The sequence below is a fragment of the Homo sapiens genome, chromosome 3 (genome assembly GCF_000001405.40).
Source record: "Homo sapiens chromosome 3, GRCh38.p14 Primary Assembly".
In the NCBI taxonomy this organism is placed as follows: Eukaryota; Metazoa; Chordata; class Mammalia; order Primates; family Hominidae; genus Homo; species Homo sapiens.
The window spans coordinates 133,818,689-133,835,936 of NC_000003.12; the positions used below are offsets into that span (position 1 = coordinate 133,818,689).

The 17,248-nt window shown below is 49.6% G+C and overlaps 2 protein-coding genes across 5 annotated transcripts in view, besides 1 other annotated feature; one reads left to right on the plus strand and one right to left on the minus strand.

The window, feature by feature from the left end:
- SRPRB (SRP receptor subunit beta) overlaps nucleotides 1-9,886 on the plus strand; it is a 44,552-nt gene extending 34,666 nt beyond the window's left edge. For 2 of the 3 annotated variants that reach the window (NM_021203.4, NM_001379313.1), the window contains one exon: nucleotides 865-2,804. In NM_021203.4, the coding sequence (NP_067026.3) occupies nucleotides 865-1,078 (214 nt within the window). In that variant the 3' untranslated portion in view covers nucleotides 1,079-2,804. Of the gene's footprint in view, nucleotides 1-864; nucleotides 2,805-6,703 lie in introns of those variants that run through there. The other variant, NR_163491.1, reaches the window with a different exon arrangement.
- Nucleotides 5,547-17,248, minus strand: part of RAB6B (RAB6B, member RAS oncogene family) — a 71,648-nt gene continuing 59,946 nt past the window's right edge. The window contains exons 7-8 of one of the 2 annotated variants that reach the window (NM_016577.4): nucleotides 15,887-15,953; nucleotides 5,547-10,164 (exon numbers count right to left, since the gene is read on the minus strand). In NM_016577.4, the coding sequence (NP_057661.3) occupies nucleotides 10,100-10,164; nucleotides 15,887-15,953 (132 nt within the window). In that variant the 3' untranslated portion in view covers nucleotides 5,547-10,099. The remainder of the gene's footprint in view (nucleotides 10,165-15,886; nucleotides 15,954-17,248) is intronic. The other variant, NM_001363953.1, reaches the window with a different exon arrangement.
- Nucleotides 16,889-17,069: a silencer, noted in NCBI's record as "fragment chr3:133554421-133554601 (GRCh37/hg19 assembly coordinates)". NCBI's record gives its function as "represses an EF-1alpha promoter that drives an FKBP-Casp9 reporter gene in an ReSE screen in K562 erythroleukemia cells {active_cell/tissue: K562}" and the evidence as "EXISTENCE:reporter gene assay evidence [ECO:0000049][PMID:32094911]".

Here is a 17,248-nt window from a genome sequence, read left to right on the forward strand (position 1 = left end):
CACCATGCCTAGAAGGCCCCTGTTTCTCCCCAAAAGCTTTTCCCTCAAGAGGTCAGCAATATCCAGTTTTGTATTGTTTTTTAAAAATACTTTTACAGTGTGTGTGTGTGTGTGTGTGTGTGTGTGTGTGTGTGTTCCTTCCTAAACAAGGTATTGCTTAGTTTTGCCTGTGGATTCTTCACTAATTTTGAAGCAACTTTACAGAACAAGAAATGCTTTATTTTGTAAGAAAGAAGATTGGCAGCATGTATTCCTCTGCTTCTGGATAGCAGAAAGGGGAAGGGGAGGCCGACAAATGAGTGTTGCTTATGCACCCTTTATTAGGGCCAGCAGGTGGCAGTAAGGGGACTTACATTGGGAAGGTTTTGGTGGTTAAAGAGGTTGGATAATAGTAATTCTGCCCTAGTTAGATATGAGAATCTGGAGTTGGTGGATTTCTAAACTCCATATCCAAATAGACTCAAGATAAAAATACATACCCTATCTACCCACACTTAACTTTCAGAAACTTATGTTTTTATAACACTTAAAGCATGTATTTTAAAAATATATTTTTAGACGGCTTCATTCAGTAGATCCTCTTAGAAGGGGGCCTTGGGCTGAAAGAAAGTTGGTGTGACCTGGTCTACTGCTGACCTGCCTTCTAGCCCTGTGAGGTCTGACCCCCCCAGCCCGCCCCACCTACCTCACCTCTCTGTCCAAGAGAGGGACTTATAAATGCAAAGGATTATTCAACAATCTTAATAGCATAATTGGCAATTCTATAGTTAAGTTTTAAATGAGTGCTGAAATGTTTAGAAACTAATATGATTTAATTGCTGTATAAAAATTTTGCCTCCTGACTTCTTTCCTTTTGCCCCACAGCAACACCTTACGAGTTACCCGTTCTGCTGCCCCCAGCACACTGGACAGTTCCAGCACTGCCCCTGCTCAGCTGGGGAAGAAAGGCAAAGAGTTTGAATTCTCACAGTTGCCCCTCAAAGTGGAGTTCCTGGAGTGCAGTGCCAAGGGTGGAAGAGGGGACGTGGGCTCTGCTGACATCCAGGACTTGGAGAAATGGCTGGCTAAAATTGCCTGAGAGGCAGCTCTAAAGCACAAGACCTGGATGTGTGACACACAGTTTTGGAAAAAGGTCTGTGGTAGTCTGGAGTTGATGAGGAAGGGGTACAAGATGTGGTTAGAAACATTTCTTTGTTCTGGAAACAAAGTACTGTTGAAACCAGCTTGGAATTTTTTTTTTTTTTTTTTTTAAGTTCAGTTCTCCCTTATGGCTGCCTTTCAAACAAGTACCTTTTATCTGATGCCTGTATCTTCCCTTTGTTAAGGTGTAACTTGATGTAGGGTCAAGGTTTTTGTGACAACAGGCAGACTCCACACAGAGAGGATATGATGAGAATATGGCCATCACCTGAAAAGTTTTCTTATCTTCTGTGCTTTTGGTCCCTGGAAACAAATCCGCCTATGTATGAAGCTAGTTGATTTCCAGTTGCACTATTTCCAGTTGCCTCTGAAGTTCACAGGCAATACATTGTCTAGTCCTTTGCGAATTTCTCTGATTTGTGGGCACAGTTATGAAGTTTCCCCACATGTGAAGACAGGTACAAAATAGCAGAGCCAAGCAGACAGTGGGTCTATTCTTCATTAGCTCAGTGACTTGTCCACACTCGTCTTAGCACTTACGTTTCAAAAGCTTGTCACAAACCCTTGGAGTCATTCCCAGATAATAGAACTGGAAATGATAAATCCCCTAATGCCAAGGGTCTAGTGTGTTCTTAGTGGTTATACTGGGAAGTGTGTGGAGATTTAGGTGCTGCTCTGCTGCTCTGGATGGCTGAAGGCTCCTGGGCCATCTTCATGTGCTGCTTGAAGAGCTCCTATTTTGTACTCCTGGCTAGAATGCTGTGGAACAAATACAAAGTGAAAAAAGTTCTCTGTAGATTTCTGAAGTGCATATTCATTGATGCCAAGAAAAAAAAAAAGTTGCCTTTTTGAAGTGATGTTTTTTGCTGTCTTCTTAAACACAAGGCTTTTTTGAATGATTAGTATATTTCATGGTAAAGAAAACAGCCTGTCTGGCTCAAAGCAATTAAATAGAATGTAATGGTGAGTACAAATGAGTGCACATGTCAGGACTCAGGTCTAACTCCTTGTCTCCTGAGCCTAAAGATTGCAACATACACAAGAACACACTCCTATTCCTACCCCACACACTCAGGGACAAGCCCAACTAAAGCTTACAAGGAGACCAGGGTGGCTCTGTCCAGGGGAGAAGCCAGTTATGGAACAGTGCATTGAGAGCCATGGTAGGAGAGGCCCACAGTTCTCTGGAGCATGCAGCAGGGGCACCCCACCTGGCCTTGAGGATCAGGGGGAGTCAAAGGATAAAGCATGGGGCTGATGACGTCTGAGGGAGTGTGATCCTCCATGTATGGCCTCTGCCTGCTGTCTCACATGTCCCTTCTGGTGGTCACTTGGGCTCTAGGAGTATACGTCACCTCAGACCATCTGGCAGAAATACTCCAGGCTCCTACCCCAAAGCACATGTCAGCCTTGCTGCTGGAGCACGAAGACAATGTAAATGAAACATGAAATGGAGGAGTTGTGAGACCCTGACCCTGAGTCCTTACTTGAAAGCTGCTGCTGGTGTTCTGAGTGTCTTTTGGACTCTTATTTCTTGCCCTTTTCCTTATTAGGCAAGCAGTAACTTAGGAAGTAGGTAAGAGCAATAAATGTGACATGTTATGTCATCATAGTAGGAGCTCATGGGAATAAAAGTCAGTGGCTTGATGCTTCTGTTAGAGGCATGTGTCCCTCTCAGCCTCTTTTATTTTTTTCTGGTTAATATCTTACTTTATTGGAGGAAGCAGCACACCAGAAAAAGTGACTGAAGAAGGGCTGCAAGTTTGAGTTTGATTCAAGGCCTAAAGAAGGTCTTCCAAAAAAGGATAATTCTATCTGGAACACTGGTCTCAAATGTTAGTGGGCATCAGAATTACCTGCGATGCTTGTTAAACTGATTTGAGGACCCTACTCTCAGACAATTTGATTCAATAGCAAGTCTGGTATTGCCTCAGGAATCTGCATGCTTAATAAGTCTTTTGTCAGTCGCATGGCACCCCTAGAGATGATCTGGCCTGGAGTGTCACGTGTGCCTTTACTTTGTTTTTAAAGTCTCTTGGGGCACACACCCTGCTGAGTTTTTCTGACAGGGTCAAGTCAGCAGGCATGGGAACTCTGACCTTGCTTCTTACTCCTGTACTAGTAGCAGGCATTCCGTTCTTGTGGCTTTGGGCCAGGATGAGGTCATGGTGACTAGTCTTTGGGAACTGGGAAGGGTTTTGATGGGAGGTCAAATGTGCTCTCTCCACTCAGGTGGTGCCCTTTTGTGGCCCTGAGGGCATTTGACTAAAGTAGGCCCATTTCATGAGATGGGCAGGTGTGGCCAGAGTAGAAGGATGGATGTCAGGTCTTGGAGACGGGCCAACTAGGCACGACTGTATGACATAGATGAGACTTTTGAGCTTGAAACACCTTGGGAACATGGCAGTGTATGGACACCGAGACCTCCTAGGACAGCAGCTGCCTAATGCAAATGACCCTGTTCCCTGCTAAGGCTGCAGTGAGATGCCCTCATGGAGGGGCAGCTGTGATGAGTGAGCCCCAGGCACTCTGTTGGTGAATATGTCCACTTCTGGAATGGAATCTCCCTAGTGGGTATGGACACGGGCAGACCCAGAGGGGTCTAAGCACTGCACTGTTTCTTCCTTTGGCTCCTCTCCAGTCCGGGCCTTGGTAGCCTCTCCACTACCAGGTGCCTGACAGTCTACTGGGGGTTCCTAATCAACAGCAGCTGCTGTTGGTGGGGAGTCCCTGGGGTCTGTCACTTCTTCCCACTGCCTCTGTCTCAGTGCCTCCTGGGCTGTCAGTGTTCCCCTGTGGTCCTGCCTTGTATGAAGCGCTGGCCATGCTCTGTTGACTTAGATCATTTCAGCCAGTCTATGTTTTTTCTTGTTTTTGAAGTTTTGGGTTCAGCACAATTGTCAAAGCTTCAGTTGGCTCATGCCTGTCCTCACCTGAAGGCCATCAGTGGCAATTAAGATGCCTATCTCTTTATCTCATCCCTTCACACATTTAAGGAAAGGTGATCACCCACCTACCTTCATTTAAATGCGCAGGAAAACAATCCCACTTCCCTTCAACTGTAAACCTCGAGAAACTTGACTGCTCACAAGAGCCTTGTACGCATTTATCCATTGGGTAAAGGCCACGCCTTGCAGCAGACCATGGAAATACTAAACAAAACGCAATTCCTGCTTTAGAGGCTAGTAGCCCCATTCTGAGGTTAAGAAACGTGCCCTTTCAGTGTGGTTTCCCTGCTCTCTCAGTAGTGTGAGCTCCATCACTGCTGCACTTGACTCCTAAGCGCTGTGTGGGCTTGTGGTCAGCTGCCAGCCATGCAGCCCCAACGGGACTGCCACTTTTCCACTGGCCTCTGAAGTGCCAGTGTTCCCATGATGCTGATGTGTGAGGCACATGGCCATGTTCTGTTGACTTGAATATATTGTTTCAAGGGTTTTTTTGTTTTGTCGAGACAGAGTCTCACTCTGTCGCCCAGGCTGGAGTGGCAGTGGTGCCGTCTCGGCTCACTGCAACCTCTGCCTCCCGGGTTCAAGTGATTCTTCTGCCTTAGCCTCCCCAAGTAGCTGGGATTACAGGCCTGTGGGACCACTCCTGGCTAATTTTTAGTAGAGATGAGGTTTCACCATGTTGGCCAGTCTGTTCTCAAACTCCTGGCCTCAATGTCTCTTCTAATCAAAGATGGCTTCCTTGAGGTGGCAGCAGATTGGAGGGTGTTCTGGAACCTTTATAAGCTTTAAAAGGAAAGGTAATTAGTGAAGTTGGACTTGAAGAAGAGTGAGATTCCCGGGCAAGGGCAATTTACCTAATCTTGGCCTTTGTTCCTCTTTGGATTGGTCCCAGGACTGTGCTGGCTTTCTGAGCATCTTTTAGTCTGGAGATAACTGAGACCTGGAGGGGCCACTCAGGGATGTTCCTAACTGGTGTGGTGTGGGGCTGGGGATGGAATATGGCAGCTAGATGTTGTCAAAGGTCATTATAGTTCACCTTAAGTTCTTGCCTTTAAATGGCTTTCTGAAAATCACCAGAAGCATGAGAGATCCAGTCCCTGTACCCTCTCCCCCCTTCCTAATCCCCTAGCCATGGCAAGCAGAGTGGGGATGAAGGAATATATCGTACCCCTGACTCAGTTCTGCCTGGAGGCTCCCTTCCCATCAGCCTTTCAGCAGAATGGAGATTAGGGGAATGCGTGTGGATTTACTCTCATGAGTGTGTCCCATCTTTACCCCTTCGGAGTTGGTGGACAGCCCAACTCCACCAGTAGGAGGAAGAAGCAAAGCAGCAAAGGGCTTTAGGTAGTGGACATACCACCCAGGCATGACAAAAGGGACTCTGTGGAGCACACACTTCAGGAACTGTTTTTGAACCCCCCCATTTATGACTGCACCACTTAAACACAGACAAGAAGCTTTGTTTTGAGAATTAGGACAGTTTATTGTTTGACCAACATGCTGAGTCTTTTCCACATTTTACACAGTTTAATGTGAAATCAACATGGCGGCTATGTCTTCTGAGCCCATAACAGATGGAATTGCCACCCTCTGTGCTCCTCACAGCCAATCACTTTAAAGGGATGGGTGAGGGGAAAGTGAGGGGAGAAGTGGACACACACCGCGAGATGCAGGCTGGCCTTCAATGCTATGGAGGCTTCCCACCTCCTGAAGGAACCATCTAAACCCCTGCTGCAAGGATTTCCTGATGAAACCACACACTGCTGGGAGTGCCAACCAGACAGGGGTCTGGAGTCCAAGGAGTTTGCACATTGAGATCCCAAGGTTTTGGAACACCTAAATAGTTCATGTCAAACAAAAATTCAAAGGGTGTCCTGATCTGTGTGGGTGCCCATGACAATCAATCAGAGTAGACTTGGGGACTGGCCCTTGTGCAGTAGAGGAGCCCAAAATACCACCAATATTCTCACTCATATGCTGGGAAGAACCTAGTGTCCTAACCAAAAAGAGTAGAGATGGTCTGAGGAACACACCCACACACAGCAGTCCTTGCTGTGTAATAAATATGGAGTCACATTTGTTCACACACAGGGCAGCAATGGATGAAAAATGGAAACTTCACTGGTTCTGATCACTCCTAACTTGCTGGGTGATCTTAATAAGCAAGTTGCCCTTCTCCATCCTGGTTTTCCTGCCTGTAGACAGGAAAAGTTGTGACAGCTCTGCTTCACATAGCTGTAACAAGGTGACAATGCCTCACATTCTTTGGGGAGAGGCAGTTCGGAAACGAGTGTGCGCACAATCTGCTCGGTTGATGCACACAGACATCCTTCTGTTCAGCTGCCCCTCAAGTGGCTCAGACATGCCTCACTGTCCTCGGCTACCTGGTCCCATCTCATCCTGACATCCTCACCTGCCTTCCATCTTGTGAAGGAATGAGGCTGCTCTACCTGCAGGATGCTGAAGCCAGGAGGGCCATCCCTTTATTGTCACAACTGGTATCCCAGGGCAGGGCCTCCCCGCACTGGCTAGCCACCAGGATGATGCAGACGTTGCACCCCAGATGTGTCTGCACTCTTAACTACCACCATTTCAATCCTTGTTTCTGTTGCCAGAGATACTGAAACTGGTCTGGCCATTGCTCCCCTCAGACCTGGGAACATGACTGAATGTTTAAGGATGACAAGAAGAGAGCAGCGATAGATAGCAAGGAGGCCTCTGACCAAGGGAAACTGCTGCCAACAGCTACCAAGCCAACTAGCCTTGGATCACACAACTGCAGCCATGGTGCTCATGATTCTGATGTCACACCTTCATGTTGATGTATGTATGATCACCCAGCAAGTTAGGAGTGATCAGAACCAATGTGTTTCCACTTGTAAATAGGCTGTTTGCTTTTTCCATCTTACACTCAACTTTCCTGATGCCTGCAGAACAGGAGCTTTGTTGATAAGCTTTTAAGATTCACCCCCTTCACTCCCACCATCCCCAAAAAAGAAGGCCAAGAGGATCCTGCTAATCTGCCAGGTCACGTCTAGTCTTTGGGGAGAGGGACTGAATTGCTCAATTGAGAACATTTCCTCAAAGGAATCCTCCAATTTGCCCTCTGCTAACCCATCTGGATTCAGCAAAGATGCAATGCTCTTGCTGGGGTGCTGAGGCAATGCCATGACATCTTCTTCAAGAGCACCTAACAGTTTATTATGGAACCTTAACTCTGTGCCAATTCTACCTGCAAGCAAGGGGACAGGGATGGTGCCTGCTCAAGACAAAAATCAGGGAACCAACAACTTCTGAAAAAGAGGTCTGGCTGCCTTTCCACACCCCAGGAAGGGAGGGGCGGAAACCGCACGTGCCGAAGGGAGCGCCATGGAACCACTGAGATGGGAGGATGGGAGGAAGCCACCCTCAGCCTCAGAGGCCAAGGGGCTGGGGAGAACCCAAACTCAAAGAGAGGATGTTGTGTGCATGCTAGGAAAGGCAGGACTCACTAAGGCCATGTCAAACCAAATGCTATCTTTTACTGCTCCTCTAGGCCAGGATGGAAACACAGTCCACGGTGCCTTGGATGTGTGTGCCCCTGAGAAGGGAACTGAGTTTCTACTGTTTTATGGGATGTTTTTTTAAAAAAGCTAATCTTTAGTGCCAAGAAAATAAAAATCTACCATACGTTCATTCACTGAGACCCAGTGCAGATTCCTGTAAATGGGGCGGTCTCAGAGGCCACAGGTGATGGCCCCCGCTGCCAACCAGGCAGGACACTGTCATGTGGACTCCTGTAAATTCTCTCGAGGTAAGTAAGCACTCTTCCAACAAGCACCACTTGGGGGTGTGCCCATGGTGGGGGGACACTGGCCCACACAGGCATGCACACCCGTGCATATAAAGTACATAGAGAAATGGTGGAGATATTCCCGTGGGCTATGTTTGCCTGTAGTTTAACACAACTATGCATTATTTTATTGATGGCAAGACAATCACAAGTTATTTGACAATATTAAGTATTTCTTATTTCAACACGTTGCAGTACTTTTGAATTTCCAAAACTTATCACAATGCAAGTTCCAACTTGAGAGCAGGAGAAACAAGAATATACATTGAGCACATGTATCTCCGTGAGGATGTGTTTGTGGAAGGTGTATACACAAGTCTATCTCTATATATAATTATGTACACACATATAAAAACTAAACACATGACATCTGAAACACGTTCAAACATTGGTCCTTGCCTTCTGCAAGAGGTGCTCAGTGGGATCCTGCTTCCTCTCTTCTTCACCTGAAGATAAATTCCTTGCTAGAGATGAGCTCTGGCATACAGCCTCCTAGGCAGAGGGTGTGTGGCAGGCCCACTGCACAAATATCAGTCCTGCCAGATTCTGCTGCACTTACTGCCTGCCATTTCAGATTAATTTCTGAGAAGTTTCAAAATTCATTCCAACGACCTTGTGGAGTTCAGCCCACCATACCCCAGATGGTCATTCATCCCATCTATGACATGCCCAGCAGCAGCCTGGAGGGAGAGCCAATGACAGCAGGGAGGGTGGGGTTTACATTTTGGCCAGACTCACTGCCCATTGCACCTGGCTCTGTGCAGGCTCAGGGCAGTGAGTCTGAGTCTATTTGGAATGCTGGCCAAGTAGGTTATATCACTTAGTGGGAAGAGAGAGTTCTCTTCAGAGACTTTGCAGATTCTCAGGACTAAGCCATTCTCAGGAATGAATCAAAAATGGAAGAGATGGCTCTCTGGGGGCAAGCAGCCTTCTGGAGACCCCACCTGAACCACATCCTCAGGTGACCACAGCGCAGCCACAGTAGCCACAAAGATATGTCCACAAAGACTTCAACTGCGCCATGCCACTGGGGTGAAAACATAGCAACAAATCAGCTTTTCCAGAAAGCACTCAACAATATTAGCAGCTGAGGCTCTAAGAACATGGATCTTTCAAGGTGGTGGTTCTGCAGACAACACCCCCCCCCCCCCCCGCCTCCCCATCACAGAGGATCAACTCCAGGTGGTCCAGCTTCCCTGACATCCAGGAGGAAGGCTTCAGGATGGCACACTGCCCAACATCACACACTGAGTTTCTTAGACTTGGCCCAGGCATGTGTACTGACTGCTGGGTGGGCTGGTTAAAATATTTTCAGAAGTACACATGGCACCCCAGTCTATAAACCACGCACCACGCAGCTGCAATTGCCAACAGCACCTCGTCCTTCTGATGGCCTCTTGCTCTGCCAGTCCCTGAGGGCACAGAGAACACAAGGTTGCCTGTACCCTCAACCCCCTTCAAGGCTTTTCAGGGAAAGAGAAGGAGAGGTGGGAGCAGTTCCTCTGGGGGCTGCTGCCGGGCTGCCTAGAGCCCACAGACCTTGGTCTCAGCTCCACACGAGGTTGACGACCCACTCTGGCCATGGAAAGACAAGAGTCAGAGCTACCTTTTCAGAGGCTGATGTGTTCAACCAATGTTTGATTTAACTGGAGTAGGGCCTAGAGAGTGGGGCCAGATGGCCCCAGACTGAAGCCTAATTAATTTGCTCAGTTAATTGTTTTAATTTATTGGGCTGGGGATAGGAGGAAGGCAGAGGTGATGAATGGTTCAAAGAGAACAGGAAGGAGGAGGTGTGTGGAAAAGGTTCTCTATAAGTTTACAAATATACAAAAACAAAAAGCACATCTTTCAAATAAAAATGACTACATTTTTATCTGGCAAAAAATTGTATACACATGATTTAAATTTTTTTTAAATTTTAACAGTTTTTGGCAATCTTAATAAAGTACAATATATTACAACCAAACCAAAAAATAGTTGTTTAAGTAACAGCCGTTAAGAGTGATGTGATCCCTGATGCCCAGCCTCCCTCCCCATCCCACCCTACTCCTAAAGACAGAGAGAAAAGAAAAATCCTCCCATCTTGATAACTCGGTTCCCTCCCCCCTTAGGAAGCTAGCCAATAGGAAGCAACACAACAAGCAAGGAGTGTCATGGGAAGCCACAGGTCGGCTCTGCATTAGCAGGAGCAGCCGCCCTCGCTGGCCGGGGGCTCCTGGGGTTTGTCCAGCTTGATGTCGATCACTGCAGGGGGACGGGCTAAGGAAGATGACTCTCCTGGACAAGCTGCCACCCCACTTAGCCCTGTGCACTGTACCCTTTGGCTACTGCTCTGTTTCTCTGCAAACACCTAGGGACTTGGCTCTTGGTTTGGCTGGGCTAGGAAGGATGCAATACCAACTCCACCTTGCCTCCTCTTCCCTTCACCCGTCCACTTCCCCCAGCGCCTGTCCACCCAAGCAAAGCCTGTCTTGCCTGGGCCGTGGGATCACCATCTATACCAAGGCCAGGGAGTCCCTTTCCCAGAAGCCTTCCCTCGACCAGTGCTCAAATGCCAGCTCCCAGCCCTGGCCTCAGCCCAGTTACCTGTCAGCCCCACTCAAAGTGCAATGGAGATGAAGAGCCTGCTGGGTTCACATCTCAAAGCACAGGGGTATGTGGGCCTTGCCTAATTGGCAGCAGGAGCAAACCCTTCAAGCTTTAGTCAGAACACATCACTTAGATCCTGAGGATGGTTACTGTAAGAAGCCACATCCATGGGGCCTAAGCACAGCCCCCTCGCCAGCCCTTTCCACTGGTGCCCCCGGGGGCTGTGGGCTAAAGAAGCACTTATCAGAACCACCACAGGGACTGGTTCCAAATGCACAGCCAGGCTGGCCCTCTGCCTTCCTCATCGGGCTCAAAACCAACACTGTGAGATTTTAGCCTTGCATCAAACCAGACCTAATTATAGCTGAGGATCAGGCCCTTTGATACCTCACAGAATTGCTCTTCCTGGACAGGGATTGCCTTAAGACAGGGGTGTGTGGGGTGTGGTGGTATAAGAAACACTGTTTTGGAACTTCTTGCTGGCATCCTAAGGATGCTTTTGTGGCTCCTATTTGAGGACAACAGGAGAGGTTCTTTTGTTTTAAGTACTATGAAAAGCCATGCTTCTCCTGAAGTTCACATTCTCTTTCCTTGCCTTGGCTGTGAGGATGCTCAGAGCCAACTTTTTGGCCACCTCTAACAACCATGCGGCCATGGCATACATTTTGAGTATGACTTTATCTCTGACTTTTCTTTGCTTTTCCTACCTTTATTTTCCCCATGTGTGTGTGTACACACATACACATACAACTTTATCTTGTGTGTATGTATATGTATCTTATACCATGGCAGCCTATAAATGAGTAAATAGATACTAAGCCAGTGCCTTCCTTCCCACTGCCCACTGCAGCCCACCTTTTGTTCTCTCTACCCTAGTCAAGCAGCCTGCTTCTCTACTGCCCATCATTTTTGGTAAACCCACTGCCAGGAATGCCCTGCTGTTTCTCTCTGCCAGCTGCAGTTCTATGGCCCATGCCGGCAGTGCAGTCCTGTTCTGTATTGCTGGCCTGGGCACAGGCCTCCTTGAGGTCTCCTGGTCTTCTCTGAGTGCCCCTCTGAGCCCAGCCAGCTCTCTCTCAGCATGGTGGCTTCCCAAAGCCAGCTCTGGTGACAATCATGTCACACTCTGCTACAGAAACAAAGTGTCCACGGATTTCTCACTCTGGCATTTAAGGCCTCCCCATTTAGGGTCACCCCAAGCACCTGTTGACGCTAGCTTATCCCCTTCCCTCAATCACACACCAAGGCTCCACCAACCAGATTTTCCCTGCTTTAAACACGTCCTATGCTTTCCTTCTTTCCTTTGTTCATGCTGTTCTTTCCTTCTAGAAGTGATGCTCCCTCCCCCACACCCAGCCTTCCTCCCCATCTCCACCTGTAAAAATGTCCTCATTCCTTGGGCCAGGGTGCACGCATTAGTGGCCTCTCCTGCTGAGAGCTACCTCACTTCCACATTAGACCTCGTGCAGTGGGGAGTAAAAGAGCCACCTTCCAGCTGGGAAGCTGAGGTGCCCAGGTACAAACCCAAGGCTATCTTGACCCCAGCCTTCTACTTTCACTGACCTGGCTGTGCTAAGCCCCTTGTGGATGGGCTTCTCAAACTCAACACTACTGACATTTTGGGCCAGACAATTCCTTGTTATGAGGGCGTCCTGTGCACGGAGGATGTTCAGAAGCATCCCTGACCACTATCTATGAGATGCCAGTTAAACCCCATTCCCCCTCCCCCAATTTATGGTGAGCCAAAACGTCTGAAGACATTGCCAAATGTCCCCTGTGGGGAGGGGAGGGAAGGGCTATCAGTCCTGGTTGAGAACTAGTGGTCTAGCTTGAAGGTTGGCCACTGTTACAGCATTACGTTCTGCCCAGTATTGAAGTCACCTACGACCACTAAAACAATCTCATGCGCAATTTGATCACAATACTTTTGTACACTGCACAGCAATAGTTCTCAAATGGATTGCATCAAAATTTTCTGGGATGTTTGTTAAAAATACGTCTCACTGGGTCCTACCTTGGTAGATGTGGGGATGGGCCCCAGATGTGTGTTTTTAACAAGTTCTTTGGAGAGTCCCAATGCACAGACATCCGGGAAACCAATTCTACTGATACTTCTAGAACAGCACTGTCCAAAGAACTTTCTCCAGTGATGGAAATATTCTATATCTGCACTGTCCAAGATGTCACCATTAGCAACATGGGCAACTGGGCACTTGCAAGGATGCTAGTGCAAGTGAGGAAATGAACTTTTAATTCAACTGAATTTTAACTAATTTAAGTCGGAACACCCACATGTGGCTGCAGAATTGGAGAGCACAGGCCCAGCTCTTCCGCTAGGAGCCTTCCCAAAGGCTCTCATTTAATGACACCTCCTTCCTTGTTACGCCACATGCTGCTGAAATGCAGTGCTCAGGGGCTGCCCGCTGATTGAGAGGACAGGGAAGAATGACTGGACCCATGTCTAAATAATGTCCCAGAAGGGGAAACTCACGGTTTCTCACAAGCCTCAAGAGGTTAGATATGTGCCTTTCCGGCAGGCATGGCCAGAGCACACCCGCCTCTTCCCTCTGGGTCAAGTGTGGCCCATCACGGGCCACATTCAGTGCCCAATGTCCCTTCTCCCTGGTTCCTGGAAGTGATGGGTGGGCCCAGACAGCCTGTTACAAACTTACCCCCTACTGCTGGATATGCTTCCCCAATCCCAGTGCCTCTGACTCTACTGCAGCACAATCCTGTCTGTATCTGGAATGTCAAAGCACACCACAGCCCCATCAGAGAGTGCAACAGGGCTGTGGAATCCAGTCATTTGGATGTGGTTCCAGCTCTGAATTAAGGAGCTGGGAGGCCTTGAGCATGCTCTATCTGGTTTGCGGCGTCACTGTCCTCACCTGCTTAGAGCCACTTCATGAAGTGCCCACACTACTGCTCTTTCTTTGCGTAAGCCAGCCTTGTTCAGAAACAGTCTGGGGCCCATGTGATGGGCGCATACTGTATTTGGGTAGAAAGTGGGGGTTGGGGGGTTGTGTATGTAGAACCAGTAAGGGGCTTATGGCTCTACCATTTGGTGGCCCCTTGGCTCCTACTTTGTTGAGAGCAGACCAGTGGAGGGTGCTGCTGGGCAGAAGTATTGGCCAGAGCGGCCCTGAGGGGTCCTCCTGTCTCGAACGTGAAGAAGAGGTGCAGCAGCCCCCCATCTAGACCTGCAAGCAGCAGACGGAAACCTCATGCCACACATTCACCAAGTCCTGAGCTGAGCAAGTGAGGCCAGGTGTGAACAGTTTATACAGCGCCACAAAGCAGTGCTTCTGTGTGGCTGCTCTCAATGTGGAACACAATTATGAACATGACCCCAAAGCACACACCTTCAAAACACCTGGATTTGGACTGTGAGTAAGCAGAAATGCCAACACCCCATCCCGAAAGAAGCAGAATGACGGCTGCCTCTGCCTGGTCCCTCTGGGACCTCTGGTGGCCGCTCTAGCACCTGCCTCGTGAGAGGCCCAGCAAGCTGGCTCCTGGGCAGAAGTGAAAGGATGGGGGTACATCTACCCAGATGAGGGGACCCCTTAGCTAGAAAAAGGGACACAGGTCACAACACCCTGTGCAGTCTGTTTGCAACCTGCCATGTATCCTTTCTCCCAAGGGGCCCAAAGGTCAGTGGTAGCTGGATGAAACGCTAGGCATACCAGGACGATGACGAGCTCACTGTCACCCTGCACTCAGCCCAGTCTGACCTGACTGTGGGCCCAGCCTGGAGCCCTCAACAGCGCGACTCTGGGAGAATGTGAATGAAACGATCACCACTCACCCCGGCCAGTGTGCCACACCTTGGGAGCTGGTGGGATGGAGAGCGGGCAGTGCAACCCTTCCCCTTGCTGGCAGGCACAGCGGAGATCGCCTGCACCTTGTCTGCCCCTCTCCCTTGTTCCTGCTCCTATGTTTGCCCTTCAGGTTGGCTTCTGTATGTTCCTGGAACCTCAAAGGAGTCCCATGTGACAGGTGATTCCACAGGGGCTCTCTCCTGAGCTCTGGAGCCTGTCTCTGCTACTGAGAGCCGTGGGGTGCCCTAGTTTAAGTTTCTGAGCCTCAGTTTCCTTATCTGTGATTGGAGTCTCATAACTGACCAACCAGGAGATACTCCTCAAACCCCCTCCTCTCGGCCACTGCTTGTCCTCTGGTGACACACAGACCGTGGGACTGCTGGGGCACCTGCTCCTTGGTGAGCCTTCCTGACCCCCCCGGGGGGTGGGTCTCGAGTCTGCTCTGAGAGCTCCTTGAGCAAGGCTGGAGAGGCCTAGCTTCCCTCCAGGCCTGTGTCAGGCTCCCCCTTGCTGCAGCCCTGGGACTCCTGGTGTCCTGCCCGCCCTGCCCCAGCAGCTCCATGAGGCCTCCAACATTAAGCTGTGTGCTTCTTTTGCTTTTGATTCTCATCAGCCCAAAGGTGCCCTTCCATCTTCCCAGGGCCCTTCTTTGATCTGTCAGGGATGTCTACCCTCAGAGGCCTATAGGATCAGTGGGGGATGTTGGAGAGCTGCTGTGTAGGGACAGGTCCACTGTAAAGGATGCCAGCCAGGGATCTGCATGCTTGTTTTCTGGTGGCTTACTCAGGCAGGGACATCTGACTAGATGCAGGGGAGGCCCAGGTGTGGGCAATGGCTTCCCCTGCTGAAACAGTTTTCATCTGATTCTCTCAAATGCCCTTAGAGGGACAGTGTCCCACATGGAATAGGGCTGGATATGGAGGAAGCAAGCCTGAGTGTGAATCCTAACTGTAACTTACATGCTGTGTGACACTGGGCAAACCAGACTACCTCTCTGAACCTCAGTTTCAGCATCTAGGTGTCTCTTCAGGTTGGGGCTGGTTTGTGGGTGATGCGCAATGGTCCCACAGATCAGTGGGGAGCCTCAGGAGCTGTTCAGGGCTGGGTAGAGAAGGTGGGCGGGACAAGGAGGGGGCATCTGTCTGAAGGGGGGAGCTGTCTTGAGTAGACTGAACCACGTTGAGATCATATCCCCAGTGACAGAGACTTCCCTGCAGTGGAGACTCTGCCTGTGTTCATGAAACCCATAAACATGCTCGCTGTAAAGAAGGGCAAAGTCGCTGTTTCTCACTCCCCACCCCACAGCATCACTCTGTGCACACCCCTTTGGTATCTTCCTGCTATTCTGGAAGAAGAAGTAGATGGTTAGAGCCAGACGGGGGCTCCAAACCATAGGGTTCAGCTGCATCCCGCCTAGAGGAGGCCCCGTGCCATTCGCGGCAGACCAGGGAAGGCTGGGCGGGGACTGGGCGAGTGTCTGTCCACTGCACTAACATATTCAGTGAATAAATGGCTTCTATACATCTTTTCACTCACTTGTCAAAGGAAAAGGATACTCCCTTCTTTGCTTTTCTCCTGGACATTCTCCATTCCGGGTAGAGCCGACGCCACACGTCGAAAAAGCTGGAAAGATGAAGAAATGCAGTGTGAACCCCAACCCTGGCCCTCCCCTCTGCTCCTCACTGCACCTGCACCCTCACCCCTCTTCCCCTCCCAACCTGCAGCTTTACTCTCCCATCTGCCCAGCGGACGGTGCCCTCAAAGGCAGGGGCTGTGCCTATGTTCTCTCTCCCCCACCTCTCACAGCATTGGGTCTGGGCAGGCCTCAGTAGCTTGTGGAAGGAAGGAACAAAGCTGTGGCCTCTCACCCAAGCAGACTGGCCATAGGGTCACTGGGATGAGCTTAGGTCATGGCAGTGACTGCAAGGGACTTCCTCTGGTGCAGAAAATGGTTTGGGCCTCTGGGTGACAGGCCTTAAGGTGGGCTTCTGCAAACAGCCCTCATGGGGACCAGGCATGGGGAAGTGACTTGCCCTTGAGATGAATGACTCTGCTTGGGGAGCCCTGCAGGTCCGGCGCCAAGGCAGCGAACAGCAGGGCCAGGGCTGCATGGGCACAGTGGTGAGGCTTCTCTGAGAGCGCGAGGGATGCAGGAGTGTGAACACAATTTTGTGGGCTTGTTTGGATGTGTAGGAGTGTGAGTTGTTTATTGTGTGTAGGAGTGTGTGTACAGTGTATGTGTTTTATCTGTAGGACTGCGTGGAAAATGTGTGTGTTGTGAGTGGTGCGTGTGGGTAGGTGCATGTATGTTTGTGTAAGCATATGGGGGAATGTTTGAGTGTGGTGTGTGTGAACGTGTGGCATCTTTATGTGTGTGTTTGTGTAAGTGTGGGGGGAATGTGTGCATAGTGTGTGTCCTTGGTAAGGTGTGTGTCTGCGTACATGTGGGTTTTCTGTGTGTGTGTGTGTGTGTGTGTGTGTGTGTTTGGGCAGGTGTGGGTGGCAGGGGACAGGTGGCAAGTGGCAGATGGGGTGCTGGCAGAGATGGAATCTTGGAGGTGACAGGTACGAGGCAGAAGTATGAGGCACAGAAGACTCTGAACTGCTAGGTTCTGAATGCCGGTCCCCCTGCAAATTCCTATGTTGAAACAGAATCTCCAATGTGACAGTATAAAGAGGTGGGGCTTTAGGAGGTGCTTAGTCAGGAGGGTAGAGTCCTCATGAACGGGATGAGTGCCCTTATGAATGAGGCCCGAGGGAGCCTGTCTGCCCCTTCCACCTTGTGAGGATGCAGCAGGAAGGTGCCATCTAGGAGGAAATGGGCCCTCACCAGACACTGAATATGCCTGCACCTTGACCATGGAGTTCCCAGCCTCCAGAGCTGTAAGCAATACATTTCTGCTGTTTATATGCTACCC